We start from the raw sequence: 23,781 nt of genomic DNA on the forward strand, positions 1-23,781 counted from the left end.
ACCTGGGAAAGAAAAACCGAAGGTGTGATGAAGCACAAATTAAAGGAATCTGACATTTTCCCCCAACTCCTGGGGAACAATAGTAGTTTGAACTTTAATTTACTGTGCAGTTAGAGCAATTTAATAGATTAGGTGGACATGCTGTGTACTGTCAGAAATGGCTTTTTCAAAACATGAATAATAATACATATATTTATTTTGAGCCCTTCTCATATAGCCTTCTCCCAGAGGTTGAGCAGGTTAGGGGGCATGAGTATATCGAGAACAAATGGAGAAGACCGAATGTGTAGTTTTAGTGGACAATATGGTTTATTTTTATTATTTATTTTTAAAGTTGCTATATAATCGTTGTACATATTGTTGGAGTACATGTGATATTTTGATACCTGTATACCATGTGTAATGATCAAATTCAGTTACTGTTGAGTTATCATCACACAGGATCCTTCGGGTGTCACTTCACCAGCCAGAAACCTCTGGCCGGCGGCGCCTCTGCTTGAGTTTTGCTCGTGCCTTCTGGGCTTCTTCTGCCCACTTGGCCTGGATCAGGCAGCACCACCGGCCAGGATCCTCCCCTGCCAAGGGTGCGCCAGTCACGGAGCGGCGAGGGGTGTCTAAATGATTGAGCACAGGGTCCGGCCACTGTGCACAGCTAGGCATTCTGGCTGTTGCAGTGGGGTGGGCAGCTCCATGCACCAGCATAGGTGCTGGCTCCGTGCAAGGCTGTGGCTGGACCAGACATACCACAAGCTGTGGGTACCAGTGTCTGGATGAGGGGAACACAGTGGCGCCTGAAAGCTTGGAGATGCCAGGAACCACAGAGCCCCAAAGAGGGTGTTACAGCGTGTCACAGCCCTGGCTCCGGGAGCCCTGAGTTCTGGGCTCTCAGTAGGGCCACACCTCTTCTCTCCTCATTGCCTACAGTGCGCAGTGAGCGGGGGTGGGGGTGGGGGTCGTGTTTCAGCCTGTTTGTGTTACAGCTCTTTCAGTCATGCTTGCCTCTGGCTCCTGGGCTGGTCCAGCACCACCACTGCTTCCTGTTGCATGAGGTGGCTGCCTAGTGCTGGCAGAGGGCGGGAGGGCTGTAGTGTTACAGCCCCTTTAGCTGCCGCCCACAGCTGGGCAAGCTGGCCAGGAAAGTGTTACAGCTCCTTTCGTTCCTGCTGTTTGGTGGGTCTCGAGTTTTTCTTCCACATCCAGGAAGAATGAAGTTACACGGGCAACTGGAGGGTGAGCAAGGCCGAGAGGAGCTTTATTGAGCAACAGGAACAGCTCTCAGTGGAGAGGAGACCCAAAGTGGTTAGCACCTATCCACAGACAGGTGATGAGTCGCTGAGTCTGGGGGTTTTTATGGGCTCAGAAGGGAGGGCATGTGTGCTGATTGGTCCATGGGCGGCCACAGGCGGGCCTGGAAAAAGCACCATCCGATTATCCGAAAGGCATCAAGGAAGTTCTCACTCCCAGTAGCCGACTCCACCCAGAACTGGCAGCCTCGACCATAGGCTTCAGGCCCTCCCTGGCTTAAAGGTGGAGTTTCACCAGGGACCTGCCCCTTCCTGCCTAGGAAACTGTCTGCCTCCCACCACTATCAATATGCCATCCATGGCGCCCAGGCTGTCCGGCCCGAGGGGCACCTGCAGGCCCGCACTGAACTGCCCTCAGCCCCTTGGCCTCCTTCCCATGCTCGTTGGTGCCCAACGTCTGGAGGGAGTCCAGGCAGCAGGGGGCTGACATGTCAGTGCTGCCCTGAGCACACACACATCCGGCTGGCTCGCAACAGTGCCCAGGCTCAGCCACAACTGTTTTCCGACTGGAGTGGGTGCCAGGGACAGGGAGAGGCCAGCCAGGGAGTGGAAGCAGGCACTTCTGAGCCTGCGGGAGCGCAGGGATGCCTGGGTCCAGAGCTGCAGCTGGGTGGCTGCAGCTGTGCCCAGGGACGCAGGCTCCCACCCTGCCAACTTGGTAGGGCACAGGGTTCCCACCGGGATCACCTGTTCCCAGCCCCCGCCAGCTCCACGAAGCCGCCCCCCACTCCTCCATGCAGTTGGCATCTTTGCAGTGGCTGCTCCACGTGGGCTACCACTGCTATCATTATGATATGTTTTGATAAAACAGATCATTGGATTTTTCTTAAGAGTTCTGCATTTTTCCTTAATTTTCTTTTTTTGTTTTCCTTTTTTCTTTTGAAATGGGGTCTGTTTCACTCAGGTTGGGGTGCAGTGGCAAAATCATAGTCCTGGGCCCACACAATCCTTCCGATCCTTCCACTTCAGCCTCCCAAGTATGCTGGGACTACAAGTGTGTGACATCATGTCTGGCTAATTTTTTATTTTTAAAACTTTTTTAGAGATGAGAATCTCACTTCTTTTTTTTTGCCCACGCTGTTCTCAAACTCCTGACATCAAGTAATCCTCCCTCCTCAGACTCCCGAGTGTCTGAGATTATAGGTGTGAGTCACCGTGCCTGGCAAAATCTGCACTTTTGTAGTATTTTGTTTTAGTTAAACTTTTCAGCCAAGTGCAAAAAAATGAAAAGATTTGCACATGAATATGCAAACAGGTATGACTGTTGAGAAGAATAAGCTAAGGTTTTAGGGAAGCAAATATTCTTTTTTCTGGCTCAAGTGAGAGAATTAGCTCAGCTTAGAAGTTACTTGCTTTTTGGATGTGTTACTTGGATGTGTTACTCGGATGTGTTACCCATACATAGAATCATTAAATCATTATTTTTATACACATTCTTAGTGAGTTGAGATTTTGCTGCTGACACATTTGCAAAAGTTGGGATTGAAAATTAGAGTTTCTTGTTCAATGCTTTACTACTCTGCTGTTCCAGAAACCTTTAAGTTAAAGTAACAGATTAAAATATTTCATATGAAGAGAACTTTATGATTTCATATGACAATATACACACACTGAAAAACATAAAACTTTAAATATTTTAATGATTGCAAAGAGTATAACATAAAAATGACTCATAACATAAATGTAAAAACGTAGGTTTTTAAGCAGTGAGTACAGTGCTGATTGGAATACTAAGGATTTCAATAACCTAGTGTAATTCAGGATGAAGAAACAGAAATCATGACCTTCTTCAGATTTGAACTTGGCGGGATCCTGTTTGCAGGCTCTGCCTGTCTCTGCAGTGGGTTGAGTTCCTCATTGGTCCACTGACCCTGGTGTAGGGAAGAGGTTGACTGGACTTATTTCTGAATTTGACTGTCAGTAGCCCAGGGTTATAATGATTTCCCACACCTTGGACATACAGAAAATGATAAAATATAATGTTTTTAGAACCTGATTTTGCAAAGGGGCATAGATAAGGTAGATTGTTAGAAGGACCCAAGGGGAATGGTTGGAAGGCATGTCATAGAAGGAGAAGATAAAGAAAGCCCAGATGATTTTTGCCTGTAGAAGAGGAGGGCTGATGGGATTCAACTGCCTAAGTTTGTATCTAAATCTTGTTTTATGGAATTGAGGTTACATTTTGTTTGTATGGCTCTTAAGAACAGAATTCAGATTTCTGCCTTTGAAAAAGGGGAAACCCTTTACCAGTTAGGATTATTAAAAAATGGAATTTCTCTGCATTTTGAGATAGTAAACTCTACATTGAAGTATTCTGCTACTTGTTAGAAATTTTGTTCAAAACTTCAAGCATTAAATGGGGAATTGGTCTGGATGACTGTTAAGATCCCCAAGAGAATTCCAATTCTTTGATCTTAGCTGTCAATTAAAGATGTTTATAAATGTTTTATCAGCTGTTCTACCTACTTCCTTATTCTTAGATGTATACTATTTCATATTAAACGATCACCAGGGACCATTAATCATATAAATAAACAGCAATAATTGCATAGACTGATTCTTCATAGAGTGCTTATTATCCTATATTATATAAAATCCTGTGATCATTTTGTTGTTGCCATGGAAGTAAAACAGTGGTTGCTTTATTATGACTAAAGCTGGGGGACTATTTTTAGCCAAATTATAGTCATCTTTGCCAGCTGAAGCATATTCAATTAAATATCCATTAATAGGATAAAGTTTATGGAACTCTGTTAATGACTCTTTTTCCCTCTTTACTTTTAAACATTGTGATGAAATTAAAACTTAGCTAATTGGACTCAAGGTAACTACAAATGAGATGTGCTTCAAGGATCTTGAATGAGCCTGTTTTTTTCTACTTTCTATTTATTTTTTACCGCGTTCTTTCCAAGTCATTCTTCTGAACTGGTCCGTAGCACATCTGCATCAAAACCAGTGATCAGGGATGGCCTGAGGAAGTTGGGCTGCTTGTGGGGAGAAGCAGACTCTGAAGGCCTGGAAATCTACATTTTCAAAAAGGCCTAGAAATTTTGACGTAGCACATTTGAGGATGATAGCAGGAAGAATTTAGAAATTGTCAGCTAACACCTGTTTTCTAGAATCTGCAAGCACAGACCTACGTGACACCAGTACCACCACTACCACCCAGCATATTACTCTAGAAGGAAGCACAGAAATTATCAGGTTTCTTCTCTTTTACTTTGTATCATGAACAATTAAGTAACTTGCCCAGGGCCATACAGACTGAATCCCATATCTCCACTGAGCCATTTGGTTTTGATGGGGATGGACTGAAGAGAAGAACTTTAAAAAATACTATTGGAAAGCTGAAATGGACCAGTGACCAGCCTCTGGATTCCTGTGATTTGTATCAGTTACCGTTTTGAATATCATGCATATGCTATGGTCACAGATCTCTTAATGTATCACGAGGACAGTTGGAAAACAATTCAGTTGAGATTAATTGGGTACATGTATTTTCTGGTTGTGGCTTTTCTGCCTTGTTTGTAGTTTACACACCAATCCATGAAATTATTTCCTTCCTTTTTCTTTTTCTTCCATGTTAGGTATCTGTCTGGTTCCTCCCTTCTTTTTCAAAGAGAGGATCAGCTTTCTGCCCCAGATCCTTCTTTCTCCTTATCTGTTCTCCACTTGATTTTAGTAACATTTCTGTGCAGACAGCCTAACAGACCTGACCTCAGATCTGTGGCCAGAAAATTTTTACTCAAATACTTTGACAGTGTTTTACTCATCTAAAAGTGAATGTGATCCCTAGACAAGTATGAGGCCAAAGGTGCGTCTCATTGGACCTCAGGCCATGTGAGCATACGCACATGGGAACATGGGGATTCTTTTACAGTTTAAGTCATGGGGAAGACAAGTCATAAACCACAGTGGTTTCTCAAAGGCAGTGATAGAGATAAGGTGATGAAGAAACTCCTATCTTCTCAGTATTCACAGTTTTGTCTGAGTAGGGATGTCTGGAAAAGGGAGGAGTATAATCCTAAAGTTTTGCCTTGAAGGGATTTATGAGTTGCTCATATTTATATATCATGCATATCATTTGTTTGTGCTCATACTCTTGCTTAACCAGTGATAGTACTATATGCAAAACTCCCCATTTTGATGTAGTCTTGTTTTTAGTGATTACCTGGTAATTTTGCCTTCTCCCCATTCTTACCTATCCTAATACGGCCTCGGTTTTTTAGCCTTTCCAGATTAGCAAACCCCAAAGGCTTAGTAGTTGTTTTGAGGAGCTAACTTTAAAATGTATCTGTTCTTGTTGCTTTTTCAGCTCAGGATAAACAGCAGTGAATCAGTTAGGAGACCTTTCTGGTAGCCTGTTACCCCAAATGTAGACCCTTGATTTTGATTTGTCTCAGGCCCCCTTAGTAGTAGATGAAGGGTTGGTTTTTGAAAGTGAAATTGTAGCTTGTTTAGTAAAAATTGCTTGTTTCTGTGGAGGCAATGTGCCAAAATTAGAAGCATCTATGGTGCCGCGCCATAAAGCAGTCTGGTGCCTCTCAAACAATAACTTTGTCAGTTCATTTTTATGGCTGAGAAAATAGCAGTCTAGGTGACCAACTTTCCCACAATTGCTTGGGGGTGTTTACTGACTGCCCTTGATCAGACGCCAAACACTTCAGAGGTAAGAGAGCCTAACCTATTTGTAGTTGTTGTTTACCCTCAGCCCTTAGCCTGCCCTTTGTTTTTCACTTACAAACAAAAGAGTAAAATCAACAGGCTGGTCTGTAAGAACTCTCATTTACTTTCCGGACCCCTTCTGTGTGGTTTAGGTAAGGCAGAGACTGGAACTATATACATCAAACTAATCATCTCACAGCCCATTATTAGGTCCCAGCTGCCGGACAACTTAGAGGATTTTTATTAACAATCAAGACACTTTTGTAAAGTTAAGTTAATTTTTGGAGATTGCTGGTCCCTTCCAGCCTGACACTGAAGTGATGATGAGTGAGTGAGCAGCCTTCTAGATTGGCAAGAAAGTGGCATCAGGTAGATAAGCTATGACTCTGTTTTATGGAATATTTGGTTCATTTTTTTTTCCATTGAGCAGCCTTCTAGATTGGCAAGAAAGTGGCATCAGGTAGATAAACTATGACTCTGTGTTTATGGAATATTTGGTTCATTTTTTTTTCCATTTCCATAATCACTTTTGATTTTCCTTAGTAGTTCTAGTCCATACATCCTGGACATTTCTCTCTTGCCTTTGGATTTTAAGTGCATGAGTTAAAAGAACTAAGCTAGTAAACCACGTTAGGATGTTGTCAATAAAATGCCCTTACAGTGTTGTCAAAGACTTTGCTTTATGGCAGGCACTCTTGCAGGGGCAATGGAAGAGCCAACCCTGAGAGTAGTTAAAAGGGATCTTCTGTGGTTTGCTTTGTAAGCCTCACTAAAGCAACAATAATTGAAATCCCTGAAATATATTGAGTAATGATATGTTGGTAAAGCAATACATGATTATTACTTGTCATACAGCTTTCAGGTTGGTGATGTTTTTCATGTTCTTTCATTTGTAACAGATGAATAATGTAAAACAGAGCTTGTGAGGAGTACAATGACATTTTGTTGTCTGGTTAATAATTTCAGCACTATTTGCAAAATTGCCCTGCCAGAGCATGACCTAGGAATTGTAAAGTGGAACACAAATAAAATAGGAAATGTGTATTTGCCCATGAGTTCTTCATGGACTTGTTATAAAAACACTTGTTTGCTGTCCTGTCTTTTGCTCACTTCTCTGTCCCCACTGGGAGAAGAGGGCCTTGTGGCCAGGCAAATGGGATGGAAGTGGGGGTACATGGAGGAAGAGTAGACAAGGTTTTATTCATCTCTGTTCCCTTTCATAACTCTTCCTAAGAGCAGAGAAAGCTGGTGAGAGAATGACAGGCAACCCTGTTAAAAGACTCGGAGGCTGGGCGTGGTGGCTCACGCCTGTTATCCCAGCACTTTGGAAGGCCGAGGTGAGTGGATCACCTGAGGTCAAGAGTTCGAGACCAGCCTGACCAACATGGTGAAACCCTGTCTCTACTAAAAATACAAAAATTAGCTTGGCATGGTGGCAGACACCTGTAATCCCAGCTACTCGGGAGGCTGAGGCAGGAGAATTACTTAAACCCAGGAGGCAGAGGTTGCAGTGAGCCGAGATTGCGCCACTGCAGTCCAGCCTGGACTCGGGGCCAGTGCAGCAAATAAATTCTGCCCCGTTCCTGCTGAGACCTCCCTTAGTTGCTCTACTTGCATCGACTTTTAATGAGCAATCTTTCTGATTCTTTTCTCTACAAAATGAGTAAACTTTAACATCTTAGTCTGCATTTTACCTCGGGGCATTTAAAATTTAAATAGCCTTGTTCTGATAAGCAGAATAGGGGGTAATTTTTTACCCTCAACAAGTTTGTCTAGAGGATACCACTAGGAGTCATGCTCACCTGTTCCTATTCACCTCTCCTGGGAACTCCGTCTTGAGTTTGTTATTAGCTGAAATGCTAATAGATCCTCTTCACGCTGTGTGAGAAAGTCCGAGGGCGTCTCGGATGCCCTTCATGTGCCAAAGAGAGAAAATGCTGGGATGGTTTGCTTTTAAAGGTTTTGAAATGAAGCACTCGATGCTCTGGTGATGCCTTTGTTTTAATTTTGCTGTTGATATTTGCAGGGACTTTACTTGTTAAATATCAGAAGCCTTTTCTCAGTATTATTGAGTTGCATTTGTATAATTCTTTAGGGCTTTAATGTTTACGGGGTCCTGGTTTAAGTATAAATAAGCCTATCTTTGGATTACCTGCCATTCCAAACCTGACATTAAAGATCAAAACAAAGAAAGATGGGATCTTAGTATTCATTTAAATAAGTTTAACTGGCTGGGCACAGTAACTCGCACCTGTAATCTCTGCCCTTTGGGAGGCTGAGGTGGGAGGATCGCTTGAGGCCAGGAGTTGAAGGCCAGCCTGAGCAACATTGTGAGACCACATCTCTACAAAAAAATACAAAAACCAGCTGCACATGTAGTGGCTTGCCTGTAGTCCCAGCTACTCAGCTACTCAGGCTGTGGTGAGAGGATCGCTTGACCCCAGGAGGTTGAGGCTGCGTTGAGCTGTGATCATGCCATTGCACTGCAGCCTGGATGGCAGAGCGAGACCCTGTCTCAAAATAAATAAATAAGTTTAAATGATAAGGTAATCCTGAATGTTGTTTATTTGTAGCCTAAGTAAATTATGTTTCAAACTGGGGCAAGGTGATAAAGTTTAACTTGAAGAGCAGAGTCCTGAGACCCTGGGAGATTCAGCTTCACCGTCACTCTGGATGTATGGAACCCACTGTTTTTTGTTTTTCCAAAGATAATTTCTTGGACCTTTTCTCAGAGGTCTTCTACCTAACTCTTCAATTATTTCTGTTGCTAGATCAGACTTTCACCAAATGCTCATGCTGCTTGAGTTGTCTGGGCTATATGCCTGACTCCATGCTGAGATACACAGAAACCTCAGGCCAAAAGCTGGGTCTCCCCGTCCCCCACATGGTTCTGTGCACCTGTGCATTACTCATTCCGCATGCCATTCTCTCCATAATTAAGAACAGAAATGCTTGTTCTCTTCAATGTCATTGTGTCCTTGGCATCCTGCACAAGGTCTGGCAGTTACGTTGGGTTCAACAAAAGTTTGTTGAACTGAACAAAGCAACAACCAAGGGTTCTAAAAACTGGAGTTGAAGGTTATATTACAAGCCTGTCTCCTGGTACCTGATGTCTTTGACAGTCTTAAAGCTTGCATTTCTGTAGCCCTGAATTTAAATCAAGTTCTTTTTGAAACCATGTTAGGTCATCATGCCTGCTGTGAATGGATTCACCAACTTTCTGTACCATTCATTGCTAGTCACTGAATTTTGAATATTCTTCCCCCACCCACTCTAAGGATAATTGTTATTGTCCAGCTCCAGAGTTCCTTGCCTCTAATGAAACAATTGCTGCTGCTTTATGCAGTAGTTTGTTGTTTATGTATGTGTTATAAAATCTTCTGTGTGACTTTCAATTCCTTACATCTTGCACAATGAATGTTGATTGAATTTAATAAAACATAAGCTAACAAAAGAATAGCATTATGTATTTACACAATAAGTGTATAGGGTTTTTTTTTTAAAACCATTTAAGCCTAAAAACAACTTGATAAAGTAGCTAATTGGGTAGATACCTCAACTTCAATGAAATTGAGGAAAATTGGGATTTAAGAAGCTTGTCTTATGTGAGAATTAAACCCCGGTCTTTCTATTCCTGATGCCCTTAAAACAGCTAAGTAACAAAACAAGTTCAAAGAGGAATGTTTGAAAGAAAAGACTTGAATTTCAAATTGGCAAGACAGAATTGTTCACTAACGCTGGCCTTGTGATTTGAAATGGCCAGGTGAGAAGATGGTGGCTACCCTTATTTAACAATTCTATCAGCAACTCAGTTTTGGTTCTTGGTAGTGATATACGTTAAGATTTTAGCAGGAAAATTTAGTCATTGAGCAATTTGTTCTTTTGGTCACTTGCTCCTTTTAAAGACAATGACTGGGCCAGACTAGAAATTCTTGAAATAAAGCCAATGCCAGAGAAACGGAGAAGATCGACTTTCAGGAAAAAAAAAAAAAAAAAAAAAAAAAGGGCTGGTCCTTTGATTTAGAGCTGTCTGAGGACATCCCGAAAGCTGGCACACCTAACTTTCCAAGATTTCCTAGAAATTGGGGAAGCAGGACAGGTAATTTTGGGAGACACAGAGGACTAGGGTTGGGGGGAGTAGACAACTATGACAAAGCAGCCACCCTTACCTTGTTATTTTTATTTTCTTATTTTTTAATAACCATAATTAGGTTATCGTGAAGATACTACATTTTCAAGAGGAGGATATTCTTGCCAAGCTATAAGATGGAAAGATACTTTAGGAGAAAGAATGTGAAGAGTAAAAAAACTCACTTGCTCATCTAAGAAACTGTGTAACTCATTTGGCCTCTGTGGTGAATGATAACACTGTGTGAACCTCTTTGTTCACATGGTATTTTTCTTCTACTGGGGCAGTGTGAAAGTTGTTAAGATATTATTCATCGAGGCACAGTGCTAGGTACTTTATATGCATTACATCTTCCAGTCCTGCAACAACCCTTGAAATTAGCAGCTGTCATCCCTTTTGGTAGGCCAGTAAAGTGTTGATCAGAGAGTTTTAAGTAATTTGCCCCAAGGTCATGCTAGAATGTGATGGAGTCCAGGTGCAAACTCAAGCCTCTTTAGCGCCTTCCTGCCCTGTTTCCTCTCTGGCTGGATGCCTTTGGGAAGAAGTAGTCACAGGTTGGAGAGACCAGTATGCCTTCCATCATTTTACCTGAGCCAGAGGAAGTGCCATCAGTACCTAGCTTCTGTGTGAAAATAACACCTTGAAAGAAGACGAGTTTGCCAGCAGCAGTTTAAGGAACAAGAGATCTTGCTTTCAAAGGAAAGTGAAATTAGAAAAACAAGAAGAACAGAGTTCTTGTCCCTGTTGTTCCATCTCTTGCCTGCTCTTTCCTGGGCTGGTCAGCTTGCTTCTGGGCCTCAGTCTGTTTATTTGTAAAGCTGTGAGACTTCTACTATATCCTAAGGGCCTTTGACCTCCTCAGTTCTGCAATTACTAACGTTTCCACAAGATAGTAATCTTTTTAAATCTTGTAAAATTTAGACAGTGCCTGAAATGCCTTCTTGTGTTTATTTGTTTATATGTCTGTATCCCCATGCAGTTGCTTGTGGATAGACAATGCACCTCTTGGCCTTTGCATAGCACAGTGTCTAGAAATAGTGTCCTTACAAATATGAATGTATGTGGAATGAAAATGTGCTCTCAGAGATTTATATGCAGTTGCTGTTTTGTAGCTTGTTAGTAACCCCAGTTTTACTACCTTATCTTTCTTTGGTTATTTGCATAATTTTTCAATTCTTTTTTTGTTAAGGTGAAATGCATAAAACATAAAATTAACTCATTAAGTAAATACACCTATTCACAATGTTATGCAACCACTACCTCTGTTTCCAAAACGTTTTTCATCACCCCAAAAAGCTGTACCCATTGAGCGGATGCTCCTCAGTCCTGCAAACCTTCCACCCACCCTCCTGCCTCAGCCTTTGGCAACCACCAATCTGAGTTCTGTTTCTGTAGATTTATTTATTCTGAATATTTCGTGTAAGTGGAATCACACAATATGGGTGATCTTTTGGGTCTGATCCTAATGCTTTCAAGCTTTATCAGCATTGTAGCTTGTATTAGTGCTTCATTCCTTTTTATGGTGGAGTAGTATTCTATGGTTTGTACACATTTTATCCATCCTTCTCCTGATGGACATTTCAGCTCTTTCTATCTTTTGAGTATTGTGAACATGAACACATGTACAGGCTGCTGTGAACATGCCTGTAGATGTGTTTGTTTATGTGTTTGCAATTCTCTTGGATATATTACTTTCAATGGCAAAAAACACAGTTACTTTTGCACCAACCTAATACAAGTAAAAGTGGAATTGGTGGGTCATAAGGTAATTTTACATTTAACTTTGAGGAAGTGGTACAGTTTTCCACAGTTTCTGTTTACTTCCTACCAGCAGTGTACAAGTTTCCAATTTCTCCACAACTTTGTCAACACTTGTTATTTTCTGTGTGTGTGTGTGTGTGTCTTTTAATAGCCATCCTAGTGTGTGTGAAGTGGTATCTCATCATGGTTTTGATTTGTATTTTCCTCATGACTGATGATGTTGAGCATCTTCTTATGTGTGTGCATGTGTTTGTGTGTTGGCTATTTACATATTATCTTTGGAGAAATGTCTATTCAATTCCTTTAGCCATTTTTAAGTAGGGTTGTTTGTCTTTTTGTTGAGTTGTGAGAGTTCTTCATATATTCTGGATACAAGTCCCTTATCAAATATGATTTGTAAATATTTTTCCCATTCTATAGGATGTGTTTTCATTTTCCTAGTTATGTCTTTTGATGCACAAAAGTTTCTAATTTTGATGAAGTTCATTTTATCTGTCTTTTGTTGCTTGTACTTTTGGTGTCTATAGATCTGTTGCCAAATGCAGTGTCATGAAGATTTACTTCTGTTTTCTTCTAAGAGTTTTATTTTTTTTAAGCTTCTATAAGTAGGTCTATGATCCATTTTGAGTTGATTTTTGTATATGATATGAGATAGGGGTCCAAGTTCATTCTTTTTGTCTATTTGGAGTCCCTGGAATTTTGATAGGATTACATTGACTCTAGATCACTTTGAGTATTATTGCTAGCTTAATAATAAATCTTCCATGGCTGGGTGTGGTGGCTCATGCCTGTAATCCCAGTACTTTGGAGGCCGAGGAATATCACTTGAGCCCCAGGAGTTTGAGATCAGCCTGGGCAATATAGTGAGACTCTGGCTCTATTAAAAAAAAATAAATAAATCTTCTTTTTCATGCTACTATTTAGCAGTGTTTTGTAGTTTCAGTATATAGACCATTCACTCCATTGATTAAATTTATCACCAGGTATTTTATTCTTTTGGATGCTGTTATGATTGGAATTGTTTTCTTAATTTTCTGATTGTTCATTCCTGGTGTGTAGAAACACAATTGGCTTTTTTTGTGCAGATATTATACCTTGCAGGTTTACTGAATTAGTGTGCTAGCTCTAGTAATTTTTTTTGTGGGATCTTTGAGATTTTCTATACGTTGGGATATGTCATATGTGAGTAGATAAGTTTTACTTCTTCCAATTTGGATGCCTTTCTTTTTCTTGCCTAATTGTTCTGGCTAGAACTTCCAGTACAATGTTGAATCTCAGTGATGAAAGTGGACATCCTTGTCTAGTTCCTGATGTTGGTGGAAAGTCTGGTTCTTATAGTCTTCTGTCTCATGAAGTCAGAGCTTATCAAAGCATGGTCCCTAGACAGCAGCATCCATACCACCTGGGACCTTGTTAGAAATACTCATTCTTGGAGGTTCCCTCTGAACTTTCTGATTCTGACACTGTGCGAAGTGGGGCCTAGCAATTTGTATTTTAAGAAACGCTCTAGATGATGTGGATGCACACTGAAGTTGAAGAACCACTGCAGCAGAGTTCGAATTTCTTTAAAGTTAGCATCTGTGCTTTATTTTCTTTGTCTTCCTTTTAGTTCCCTTGTGGGATTAATCAGTGTTGAATAATTTAAAAAAAAAAAAGAATGTCAAGGCTAACCAAAGTGCCTACATTATCTCTTAGCTTGTGTAAGAGTCTTGAGTCACCATGAATGATTGCAGATTCATCATTAGACATTTATGAGATTCATCAGAAGACCTCACATTTTGTATGCAGTCTTAGACCCATTGCAAACAGCTTAAATGTACTTGTATTTAGACCATTTGTTCTGATAATTACTTTCACCATTATTATCTGTTTACCTACTAGCTGTGGCCTTATGGCTACTTCTGCCAGCAAGAATTTCTGTTCCTCAGCTATTTAAAAAGACTGAAGGGTCACTTTTATAGGATAAATTAGATTTTATCACATCATTATTTCATCTTTGCCTTATTTTCATCTTGCTATGTTGTGATGTCAACTCCTTTACATCCTTTTTGAGCAAGATGATATTTAAATCAATTAGGAAAAAATGTGATCTATTGCAGCTAATGGCTATTGTTGAAAAATAGCCGTTTAGACACACAAGTACCAGTTTATAGACAAGCACAATAATTCTATGAATTCATTATCAGATTATAGACAAGCACATGAATACTCAGATGATAAAAATACCATTTAAAAGTGCCTGAAATTATAGTATAATTGATTAGTTTATAGCTGATCTTTTTCTAAGACTTGTTTAAATGATGATTTGTACCCTGGATTCCCAGTTTCCACCATTTCAGACTTCCAAACTTTATTTGTAATTCACCTAATCAGTCTGGTTCTGTCTGCTCCCAGAATGGGTGAATGTTGTGAAGATAGCATCTGAGATGTGTGAGCTCTAGGTCAGCAGTTCCCAACCTTTTTGGCACCAGGGACCGTTTTTGTGGAAGACAATTTTTCCACGGATTGGGGGTGAGGGGGGCTGTTTCAGAATGAAACTGTTCCACCTCAGATCATCAGGCATTAGTTAGATTCTCATAAGGAGCACACAGCCTAGATCCCTCTTCACGATAGGGTTCGCTGCTGATTAGGAATCTAATGCCGCTGCCGATCTGACAGGAGGCAGAGCTCAGGCAGTAATGCTCGCTTGCCCACTGTTCATCTCCTGCTGTGCAGCCCATTTCCTAACTGGCCACAAACCAATAGTGGTCCGTGGCCTGGGGATTGGGCGCCCCTGCTCTTGGGGATCCCTGGTAGCAGGGAAGAAACAGAGGATGAGGCAGAATGATCTTGCAGCCTTGGTGGAGGCTCAGGAGCTCTCCAAGAGCTTGTGTGGTCCTAAGAATACAATGTTGCTGGTCTTTCCTTTTGTCTCTTTGATGTGTGAATACTGTCATACAATCATTGCATTAATTACCATTGATTGAATAATAAAGCGGCTCTCCAACCTTTCTGGTTCAAGGTTTAAGTAAATGAAAATTCAATTCATTAACAATTGCTAGCAGACTTTTAGGAACTTTACGAAGAGAAATTAGTGTTTTAATTAGGGAAAGATTACAATAATATTGGGCATTCTCAAACACAGTTCAGCAGAGATAGTAAACTCACAGATTGGGAAATAAATGTTTAGGAAGACAATAACTTCTTTTCGTACCACTATGGTGAATGAGATTTTATTTTGCTAGCTTTTAAACTCCAAATTGCCTATAGATGCAATGGTTTATTTCAGAAAGGAGAGGAACTTGGGGTTCTAAGGCAAGGTGGAGTTTTGGAAACTATTAGTGCATATTTTTAAATGTCCTTTGAAATAGTTTTGATGACAGTGACAAAAGGGGGAACAAGCATGTTAAAGTCATTTGGCTACTCTTGAAATCAAGACTGTGAAGAAAACCTTTTCTAGCTGTAAATCACATGCTTGTCCTACATTCTTTAAAGCATTTTACACAAATGACTTTAACAGTTTTAGGGGTCATGCCTGGGGTTAAGAGACTATTTGCATGGTATACGTTTTGGTGATTAAAAAGCAATACTTTATTGAGATGGTAGCACCTCTGTTCACACTCTGTACTGTGAAACATTTTATTTTTACCTAATGAGGAAGGATTGTTCCCTAAGTCAATGTTGTACCAAGTGTATACTTGTTGATTTTATGTTGCATGGGTGTGGAATATTAAAAAGCTTTACTACTTGTAATAGTAACAAAAAAAAATTTAAAAAGCAACCAAAACTATCTATAAAATTATAAAAAGCATTGTAAAGAATAATGATAACTAGTAACATTTTGATGAGTGATTATTGTGCCATGCACTGCTCTAAGCGCTTTTGCGTGTAATGAATTTCATCTTTAAACCTGACCATATGAAGTAAGAATTGTTATTCTCACTTATGACTATTAGGAAGTAAGGTTCAGAAAGGCTAAGTGAATTGTTCAAGGTCACGCAACCAGTGTGAATAGTGAGCTGGGGAATAAAACCAGGCAGATCACACTCTTAACATCTGCTCCATTGAGCTGTGTACATCAGCCCTTGAATTTCACAGATACTGCTCAGGATGGGGCAGACATCATTGTTTATGATTTATTTTTAATGAGTCAATTCAAATACAAATATTAAGTAAATACACAACTCTCTCGTTGGCTGTGTCAAAAATGCTGAGGCTGACAAGAAAAATGGATTTGGAAACCAAAGCCTTCAGCGATTGGTGGATGTATTCGTTTAAATTATACTTAAGAATTAAATGGGGTCATGCAATGATCGATTTTTATGCCATTCTCTTCTTTTGCTTTAAATTATTGCCAATGTGTTAGCATGTGAGAGACTGCTGTGTTTACTTTTTACAGTTACAGAGATGACCAGATAGTTGAGTGATTTGGTATATTATCCATGAATTTGGATTGAACGGTTGGCATTTGGAATGTTAGATAAATAGTATACAAATTTTCTTCCCTGCTCCTGTTTTTTTTCCTATTTCACAGACTTGTTCATATGCTCACCAGTGTCCCTGTCCCTTTCCCCCTGCTGAGTCCTCTCCTGTGAAGTGGTCATAACGCTGGTTGTACTGTGAAGTGAAGGATGCATTGTGTGCACGTTTAAATGCAGCACTGGATGGCAGGATCTGCCTTTTACCAAATAAAGTGTTGTATTTCTCTTGGTTTTTGTTCCAGCTGAGCAATTTTCATTGCCGACAGCACAACATACATTAGGATAAAGCAAATAAACAATGCAAGGCACTTGGAGCCAGGAAGTCGCATCTCAGACTAGAAACACATAGTTTTCTATTGACATTTGGGAGGTGGGCTGCTAAATAGGCGAGCCAGCCACCAAATAGAAAACCAGTGGCCATGAGGTTCTTGCACTTCTAGGGAAGCCATTTATTTAATCGTTAGATCTTTGAAAGGTGTCTGAAGTTGATTTTGATGTAACAACAGCCAGTTTCTTTGTAATTAAATATTAACTCAAAACTATGTCTTGGGTAACTGTTAACCTTTGCCATTTGTTGTTTGCCTTAGACATGTAATTAACATTCATTGAATTTAATTTGTTGTTGTTCACGTCTTTTATTAACTCATACACAATTACTTGTCTTCTGTTTTTAAAAACTTTTTTGGGAAGACAGGGTCTTGCTCTGTGCGCAGGCTGGAGTATGGTGGCTTGATCTTGACTCACTGCAGCCTCGACCTCCTGGGCTCAAGCCATCCTCCCACCTGAGCCTTCCAAGTAGCTAGGACCACAGGCGCGCACCACCATGCCTAGCTAATTTTTTATTTTTTGTAGAGATGGGATCTCGCTATGTTGCCCAGGCTGGTCTCAAACTCCTGGGCTCAAGTGAGCCACAGTGCTGAGCCTTGTCTTCTGGTTTGTTGAAGCAGTAAGTCAGACAATATTTGCCACAATAATGTCTGTCAATTGTTTGTGGCTGGCCATAAAAACTCCAGCATCACATTCATCTGAAGGACACTGCTAATGAAGGCCACTCATTTTGCTGTTGTCATCCACCTTATTGTATCTCAGGACATCCAGCTTAATCTTTTTCTATTATGTTTATTCTTCTTGGGAGTGGTATGACTACTTCTATGAAGTCCCAACACAAGATGAAGAGCGGACTCCTTTTGAATGTGTAGTTAGAGTATGTTCATCCTTCAGTTGCTTGCCAGCAAAGATCAGTCTCTGTTGATCAGGAGAAATTCCTTCTTTATTCTGGATCTTGGCCTTTGGATTTTCTGTTGTGTCCAAGGGTTCAACCTTGAGAGTGGTGCTCTTCCTGTAAGGACTTTTATGAAAATCTGCCTGTTGCTTGTGGTTCCATCCCAGATGGTGGATCAGAAAACTGAATTTCCTATTTTGAAACAAATTTCTTGTTAATTTAATACTTTACTTTGAAATAATCCATGTAAATTTGGCATACATATTTTTAATAGTTCCTTATTTTAAAATATGATCTAGACCTGGCACGGTGGCTCACAGCTGTAATCCCAGCACTTTGGGAGGCCAAGGCAGGCGGGTCTTGAGGTCAGGAGTTCAAGACCAGCCTGGCCAACACAGTGAAACCCGTCTCTACTAAAAATACAAAAATTAGCTGGGCGTGGTGGCGGGCACCTGTAATTCCAGCTACTCGGGGGGCTGAGGCAGGATAATCGCTTGAACCTGGGAGGCAGAGGTTGCAGTGAGCCGAGATCGCGCCATTATACTCCAGCCTTGGTGACAAGTGCGAAACTCTGTCTCAAAAAAAAAAAAAAAAAATGTATTCTTTCCCCCTGCCTTATTCAGTTGGTTTGGAATAATTTAAGGATTTCTTCTATTTCAAATTATGGCATATTACAGTAATTTATTAAAAATAATCTAACTGAAAATCATAAATGCAAAGTCTATAGGAGCTTTCTAAACCAGAATAAAAAATAATTTTATAATTGATTTGTTTAAATATTGATTAATTATGCATTCTTTTAAAGGCCAAATAAAAAGAAAGAAACTTTTTGCCCCACTCTGTTACACTACTACTAACTGAGCAATCTTGGTTTATGGAACTTGAGGTTTTGGGAATCATTAAATATTTATAAAGATACTTATAGTTTTGGGTTTTTTGTTTGTTTTCTTTGAGTTGTATAGCTGGAGAATTCCTTTTCATTCATGGTTTCAGGTTTAGCTTTAAGGCAATATATACCAACTTTTGAAGAGCAAATTGTCAAAGTCATTAATTATCTTCAGTTTGGATAGTACATTGAAAACATTAATTATTTTGAATAATGTATGTTTCTTCAGCTATTAACATCTGACTCGTCTGTTTTAGGACCTGCTGAAGTTCCCATGATGTCACCCAATGGATCCATTCCTCCCATTCATGTGCCTCCAGGTTATATCTCACAGGTAATCCATTTGATGGACTTCTCTACTCACTATGGACACTGTCGTTGCTCCAACAGAATATATGTTGAGGCTTCAAAGCCATATTCCAGGAGTTAATTTGGGTACCGTAGTGCTAGGTTTGCCATCATTTTGTGGCACCACATGGCGTTTCTTGTGTCTTGCCACTTGACGTACCAGAGAACCAGAGAAAAGGAGACACAGAAGGCCTACTAGACTGTCCTCTGCCAAGTGGGGTTTTTATATTTGATTGTTTGGTTGTGATTTCTTTATGGAGTCTCCTGCTTCAGACATTTCCTTCCACCTGTAATACAACTTTCTGGAAGAAAATTCATAGATGTAGTTAGTTAACATATTAAAGGAGACATAGCTCACATAAACAGGGCCTACCTTCTGTTACAGAAGGAAAAAAATGGAGTTCAATTGCTCCACAATGTGGCAAAAGCTAGGCTTGGTGAGTTATTGAGTATGATGTGAGAACTTGGCTGTTTGCACTTAAATTTCTCTGAGCTTTGGTTTTCTAAGTAAAATGATGGTAATAGCAATCTCAGAGATCTGTGGGAAGGGTAGAAAAGCTTTAAAGGATGAAGTTATGTTCCTGTACGTGAATAAAGCATAAAATGTTCTGCATGGCTGGAACATTGTGGACATCTGTATATACTTTAGTTTTTGTCCTAGCCTCAGCACAATATGCAAATCTTCTGTTTCTGCATAGCTACCTTTCCAAATACCTAACAAACTGTTTTTCTGTCTTTCTGCCTTTTTTGTTCTTCCTACTTACCATAAAAGGAAAAATATTTACCATTTTACTATCCAGAGATGATAATCACTCTGCTAACATGTTTTTGATTATATCCTTCCAGATGGATTTTTCTTTTCTCTACTCTTTCTCTGTCTCTCAGCCTCTGCTTTTAAAGTGGTTTAAAATATGTAATTTTCAGTTTTTAATGATTCTGCTAGGGCGAAAAATTGGCAGCTACATAGGAAAGTTGCTGAAGCGGAGGCAGGAATCAAAGATTTATCCTTCTCTGATATAAAAACTTACCCATTTTTTCAAGTGTAAGGCATATTGCAGCCACTATAATTTCATTTTTTTCCATCCTTTTTTTTATGTGAGCCAATTGGACTTTATTTATTTCTTACTGAGTTACTTACTTACTTACTTACTTACATAGCCAGATTGCTGGCCAGTTTTCCTGCTGTTGCAAATAAATGACTTACTTTACACAAGTCTTTGTAAGTAAGAATCACTGGAGGGAGAAAGGGGTGTAGAACAGGCTCTTCCAGCAGGGACACCAGATGATGGATCACATTCACATCAGCCGTCAGTTAACAGAAAAGAACAAGGAATGTAGAATTCCATTATGTCTCCTGCTCATGTATTTTGAGGAAGCATTTCATTCCATTGAATAGAGTACAGTTCTCACCATTGTGACGCAAAAATAACACCTCCTTTTATGCTAAAGGTCCATTTAAGAAATACCAGTTAAAAATTGAACATTTCTAACGGAGAGAAGCTTCAGTGTGCTTTTTCTTACTAGTATTATTGCTGTGATTACATTAAATGCAAAAATATTTATTGCATGTACTAGGAAAAGTGGAGAATTTTTGACTTGGATATAGTTCGGATTCTGGAAAACTTCTGTAGAAAATCCAAATAGAGTAAAAGTAGAGCTGTACACTCGCTTGTATGAAACTGATGATGGAAGCATGTTGATGCTCTTTCCCGGCTGACAGGTATGGCAGAATATGCTAGACAATATTGGAAGAATAGTTAAAATGGAATAATTTGAATTGAAAAAGGGAAAGAAGCAGTCTGTAAGGCATGTGAATGACTAACTTCATTTCAATTGGGCTCCTTGACCAGAAGATGGGTGCAAAGTTAAATGACCTTCCGTGATAGTATTATGTCTTTTATGACACGTTACAGTAGAGTATCTGAAAAAGATTGTTAATATGAAGAAAATAGAATTGAGAAGCCAACAGGATGTGTACACAACATCTTCTTTAACGCTGGCAGTACACACACTTCAATGAAATGAGGAAGGCCGAACCAAATATAAAATGTCTTAGTTGTCTTGTTATCACCAAGAGATAGGAGCAAGATACATTGTTGTCATGCAGTTGTAGAAAGAAAGAAACACACACACACACACACACACACACACACACACACACACACACACACACACAATCTCCTGCAGCAGGCTGGACATATGTGAGAAGTGCTCAGTACTAATCTGTCCCTCTGCTAGTTAGTTCTGTACAGTTATCCCCACAGTCCTCTTCCTAAAGTAGACATTACTTTCTTGTTCAGGTCTAGAGTTGGTTGCCTTCGCATGTAGTTAAAGTTCTGTAGCATGGTGTATAATATCCATAACACTCAACCCTGCTTACCTCTCAAGAGGCACCTTTACCTGTCACCCCACAGTCTATGTGTTAAATTTCTGTTCCCTAGATACCTTGGGCCTCTTTCTAAATACACACTTTCATGTCCATTATTTCCCCCTGTCTGGAATACTCTAGAGCCTTTCATTGACAATTCACTTGTTCTTTTTGGTGCCCCTCCTCAATGTGACCCTTTTAGAACCTTCATCACAGAAATAGTTGTTCTGTTTTTTCAGCATCTGTGATTCTTTCCCTCCCTGTCATAGAATAAAATGTGTATTTATAGTCATCACCAAGAACTCATATTGCCTCATGGGGATTGTATCTCAGCATCTAGAATACTGCGTGGCACAAAGTAGGTACTTGCTAAATGTTTCTAAATATAAATGATTGTCCAAGCTTAAGTAAGTACAGGAGAGATTCATATATATTCTTAAATGATTTGCATGTTTAAAGAGAATAATATAATGCTCAATAGATGGAAAATAACAATGAGACTGATCTATACCTGCAAAGAATGAAATGTTCTGAATGTGTATTTAAAAGAGAGAGGAACACCAAGACAGTTCACTGGAGAAAAGAATAATCTTTTCAATAAATGGTGCTGGAAAAGCTGGATATCCACATGCAAAAAGAGTGAAGTTGAACCACTACCTCACATCATATGCAAAAATTAACTCAAAATGGACTATAAACATAAATCTAGGAACTAAAACTATAAAACTTGAGATACAAAATTTTATAACCTTGGATTAGGTAATGGATTTGTATATGTAACACCGAAAGCATGAGCAACAAGAGAAAAAAATAGATAAATTTGACTTTAAACAAATGAAAAATTTTTGTGCCTCAAAGGACACCATTAAAAAGTGGAAAGAGGCCTGGGACCGTGGCTCACGCCTGTAATCCCAACACTTTGGGAGGCCGAGGCAGGTGGATCATTTGAGGTCTGAAGTTCGAGACCAGCCTGACCAACATGATGAAACCTTATCTTTACTAAAAATACAAAAAAAAAAAAAAAATTAGCCAAGTGTGGTGGCACATGCCCGTAGTCCCAGCTACTCAGGAGGCTGAGGCAGGGGAATCACTTGAACCCAGGAGGCGGAGGTTGCAGTGAACTGAGATCGTGCCACTGCACTCCAGCCTGGGTGACAGAGTGAGACTCTGTCTCAAAAAAAAAAAAAGAACAACAACAACAAAAATTAAAAGAAAATTCACAAAATGGGAGAAAATATGTACAAACAATATGTTTCAGAAAGGACTTGAATCTGGAACGTATAAAAAACTTACAAGTCAAGAATAAAAAGAAATTTAAAAATGGGCAAAGGACCTGAATAGACATTTCTCTAAAGAAGATATACAAATGGCCAGTTAGAGCATGAAAAGATGCTCAATATCATTAGCCATCAGAGAAATGTAAATCAAAACCACACTGCAATACCTTAATGTGCTAGGATTTCTATAGTCAAAAAGACAGTAACAAGTATTGGCAAGGTTGTAGGAAAAGTGGAATACACTGTATGTGTTAATGTAAAATAGTACATCTGCTTTGGAAAACAATCTGGCAGTTCTTCAGATGGTTGAATAGGGAGTTGCATATGACCCAACAATTGCACCCCTAGGTATATACCTGAGAAATGAAAACATATGACCACACAAACACTTGTACAGGAATGTTCATAGGAGCATTATTCATAATAGCCCCAAAGTGGAAACAACCCAAATGCCCATCAACTTATGAATAGGTAAATGTAATATAATATCTTCACACAATGGACTATTATTCAGCCATAGTGAGGAATAAAGAACTGATACATGCTAAACTATGGATAAACCTTGAAAACAGTATGCTAAGTGAAAGAAGCCAGATATAAAAGCCACATATTGTATCATTCCACTTATATAAAATGTCTACAATAGGCAAATTCATGGAGACTGAAATAAATCAATGGTTGCCAGGAGTTGGGGGGAAGGAGTTAATGGGGTATGCTGTTTCTTTGCGGAGACGAAAATGTTCTGGAAGTAGATAGTGGTAGTGGTTACTTAACTGTGACACTAAAACCTACTAAATTGGACACTGTGACCGGATGAATTTTATGTTATATAAACTAAATCTCAATAAAGCTAGTACAAAAGAAGGGGCAAGGGGAAGACAGTGACACGTCCCAGTTATGAATTGGGAAACAATGGGGCAGCTGGGAAAATGGCCCCACTTTGGAGTTATTGGTGGTGGTGATGGTGATGGTAACTACTATGAATGTTGTGCACTGTGCTAAATGGTTTATTTTTATGTCTAGTTTTCACTGTCCTGTCTTTACATATGAGGATGCTGACGCCCCGGTTGGAACCAGGATTGCAGCCCATGCATTTCTGATTACACTGACCTCTTTCCCATTATGATACAATCTCACAGTCCGTGGCAGAGCCTTGTCCTGATGATTTTTATTGCTTTCTGGCAGTGTGAGTGTGGGTGTGTGTTGTGCCTACTTATGCATCTCCATTTCTAAAACACCAACTGCTTGTGCATTGTATGGTCTTTATTTACCGTTTTTTTTTTTTTTTTTTTGAGATGGAGTCTTGCTCTGACGCCCAGGCTGGTGTGCAGTGGCATGATCTTGGCTCACTGCAACCTCTG

General features: G+C 39.8%; 1 protein-coding gene and 1 pseudogene across 11 annotated transcripts in view, besides 6 other annotated features; one reads left to right on the forward strand and one right to left on the reverse strand.

Annotated features, from left to right (window-relative positions):
• FNDC3B (fibronectin type III domain containing 3B) overlaps positions 1–23,781 on the forward strand; it is a 362,092-nt gene that overhangs the window by 168,609 nt on the left and 169,702 nt on the right. For all 11 annotated transcript variants that reach the window (NM_022763.4, XM_017007062.2, XM_017007064.3 and 8 more), the window contains one exon: positions 18,685–18,761. In NM_022763.4, coding sequence (NP_073600.3) covers positions 18,685–18,761 — 77 coding nt within the window. The remainder of the gene's footprint in view (positions 1–18,684; positions 18,762–23,781) is intronic.
• Positions 1,177–1,740: an enhancer, noted in NCBI's record as "H3K27ac-H3K4me1 hESC enhancer chr3:171927153-171927716 (GRCh37/hg19 assembly coordinates)". NCBI's record gives its function as "activates a minimal SCP1, AML or CMV promoter by ChIP-STARR-seq in naive H9 embryonic stem cells {active_cell/tissue: H9 hESC(naive)}" and the evidence as "EXISTENCE:reporter gene assay evidence [ECO:0000049][PMID:30033119]".
• Positions 1,741–2,303: an enhancer, noted in NCBI's record as "H3K27ac-H3K4me1 hESC enhancer chr3:171927717-171928279 (GRCh37/hg19 assembly coordinates)". NCBI's record gives its function as "activates a minimal SCP1, AML or CMV promoter by ChIP-STARR-seq in naive and primed H9 embryonic stem cells {active_cell/tissue: H9 hESC(naive and primed)}" and the evidence as "EXISTENCE:reporter gene assay evidence [ECO:0000049][PMID:30033119]".
• Positions 5,036–5,095: an enhancer, noted in NCBI's record as "active region_20824". NCBI's record gives its function as "activates an Ori minimal core promoter by ATAC-STARR-seq in GM12878 lymphoblastoid cells {active_cell/tissue: GM12878}" and the evidence as "EXISTENCE:reporter gene assay evidence [ECO:0000049][PMID:35858748]".
• Positions 5,106–5,165: an enhancer, noted in NCBI's record as "active region_20825". NCBI's record gives its function as "activates an Ori minimal core promoter by ATAC-STARR-seq in GM12878 lymphoblastoid cells {active_cell/tissue: GM12878}" and the evidence as "EXISTENCE:reporter gene assay evidence [ECO:0000049][PMID:35858748]".
• Positions 14,587–15,090: an enhancer, noted in NCBI's record as "OCT4-NANOG-H3K4me1 hESC enhancer chr3:171940563-171941066 (GRCh37/hg19 assembly coordinates)". NCBI's record gives its function as "activates a minimal SCP1, AML or CMV promoter by ChIP-STARR-seq in naive and primed H9 embryonic stem cells {active_cell/tissue: H9 hESC(naive and primed)}" and the evidence as "EXISTENCE:reporter gene assay evidence [ECO:0000049][PMID:30033119]".
• Positions 15,633–15,927: a silencer, noted in NCBI's record as "tiled region #15581; HepG2 Repressive non-DNase unmatched - State 14:Gen5'". NCBI's record gives its function as "represses a minimal TATA promoter and a strong SV40 promoter by Sharpr-MPRA in HepG2 cells {active_cell/tissue: HepG2}" and the evidence as "EXISTENCE:reporter gene assay evidence [ECO:0000049][PMID:27701403]".
• RPS27AP8 (RPS27A pseudogene 8) lies at positions 17,242–17,683 on the reverse strand (annotated as a pseudogene).

Source organism: Homo sapiens, chromosome 3 (genome assembly GCF_000001405.40).
Source record: "Homo sapiens chromosome 3, GRCh38.p14 Primary Assembly".
Classification (NCBI taxonomy): domain Eukaryota; kingdom Metazoa; phylum Chordata; class Mammalia; order Primates; family Hominidae; genus Homo; species Homo sapiens.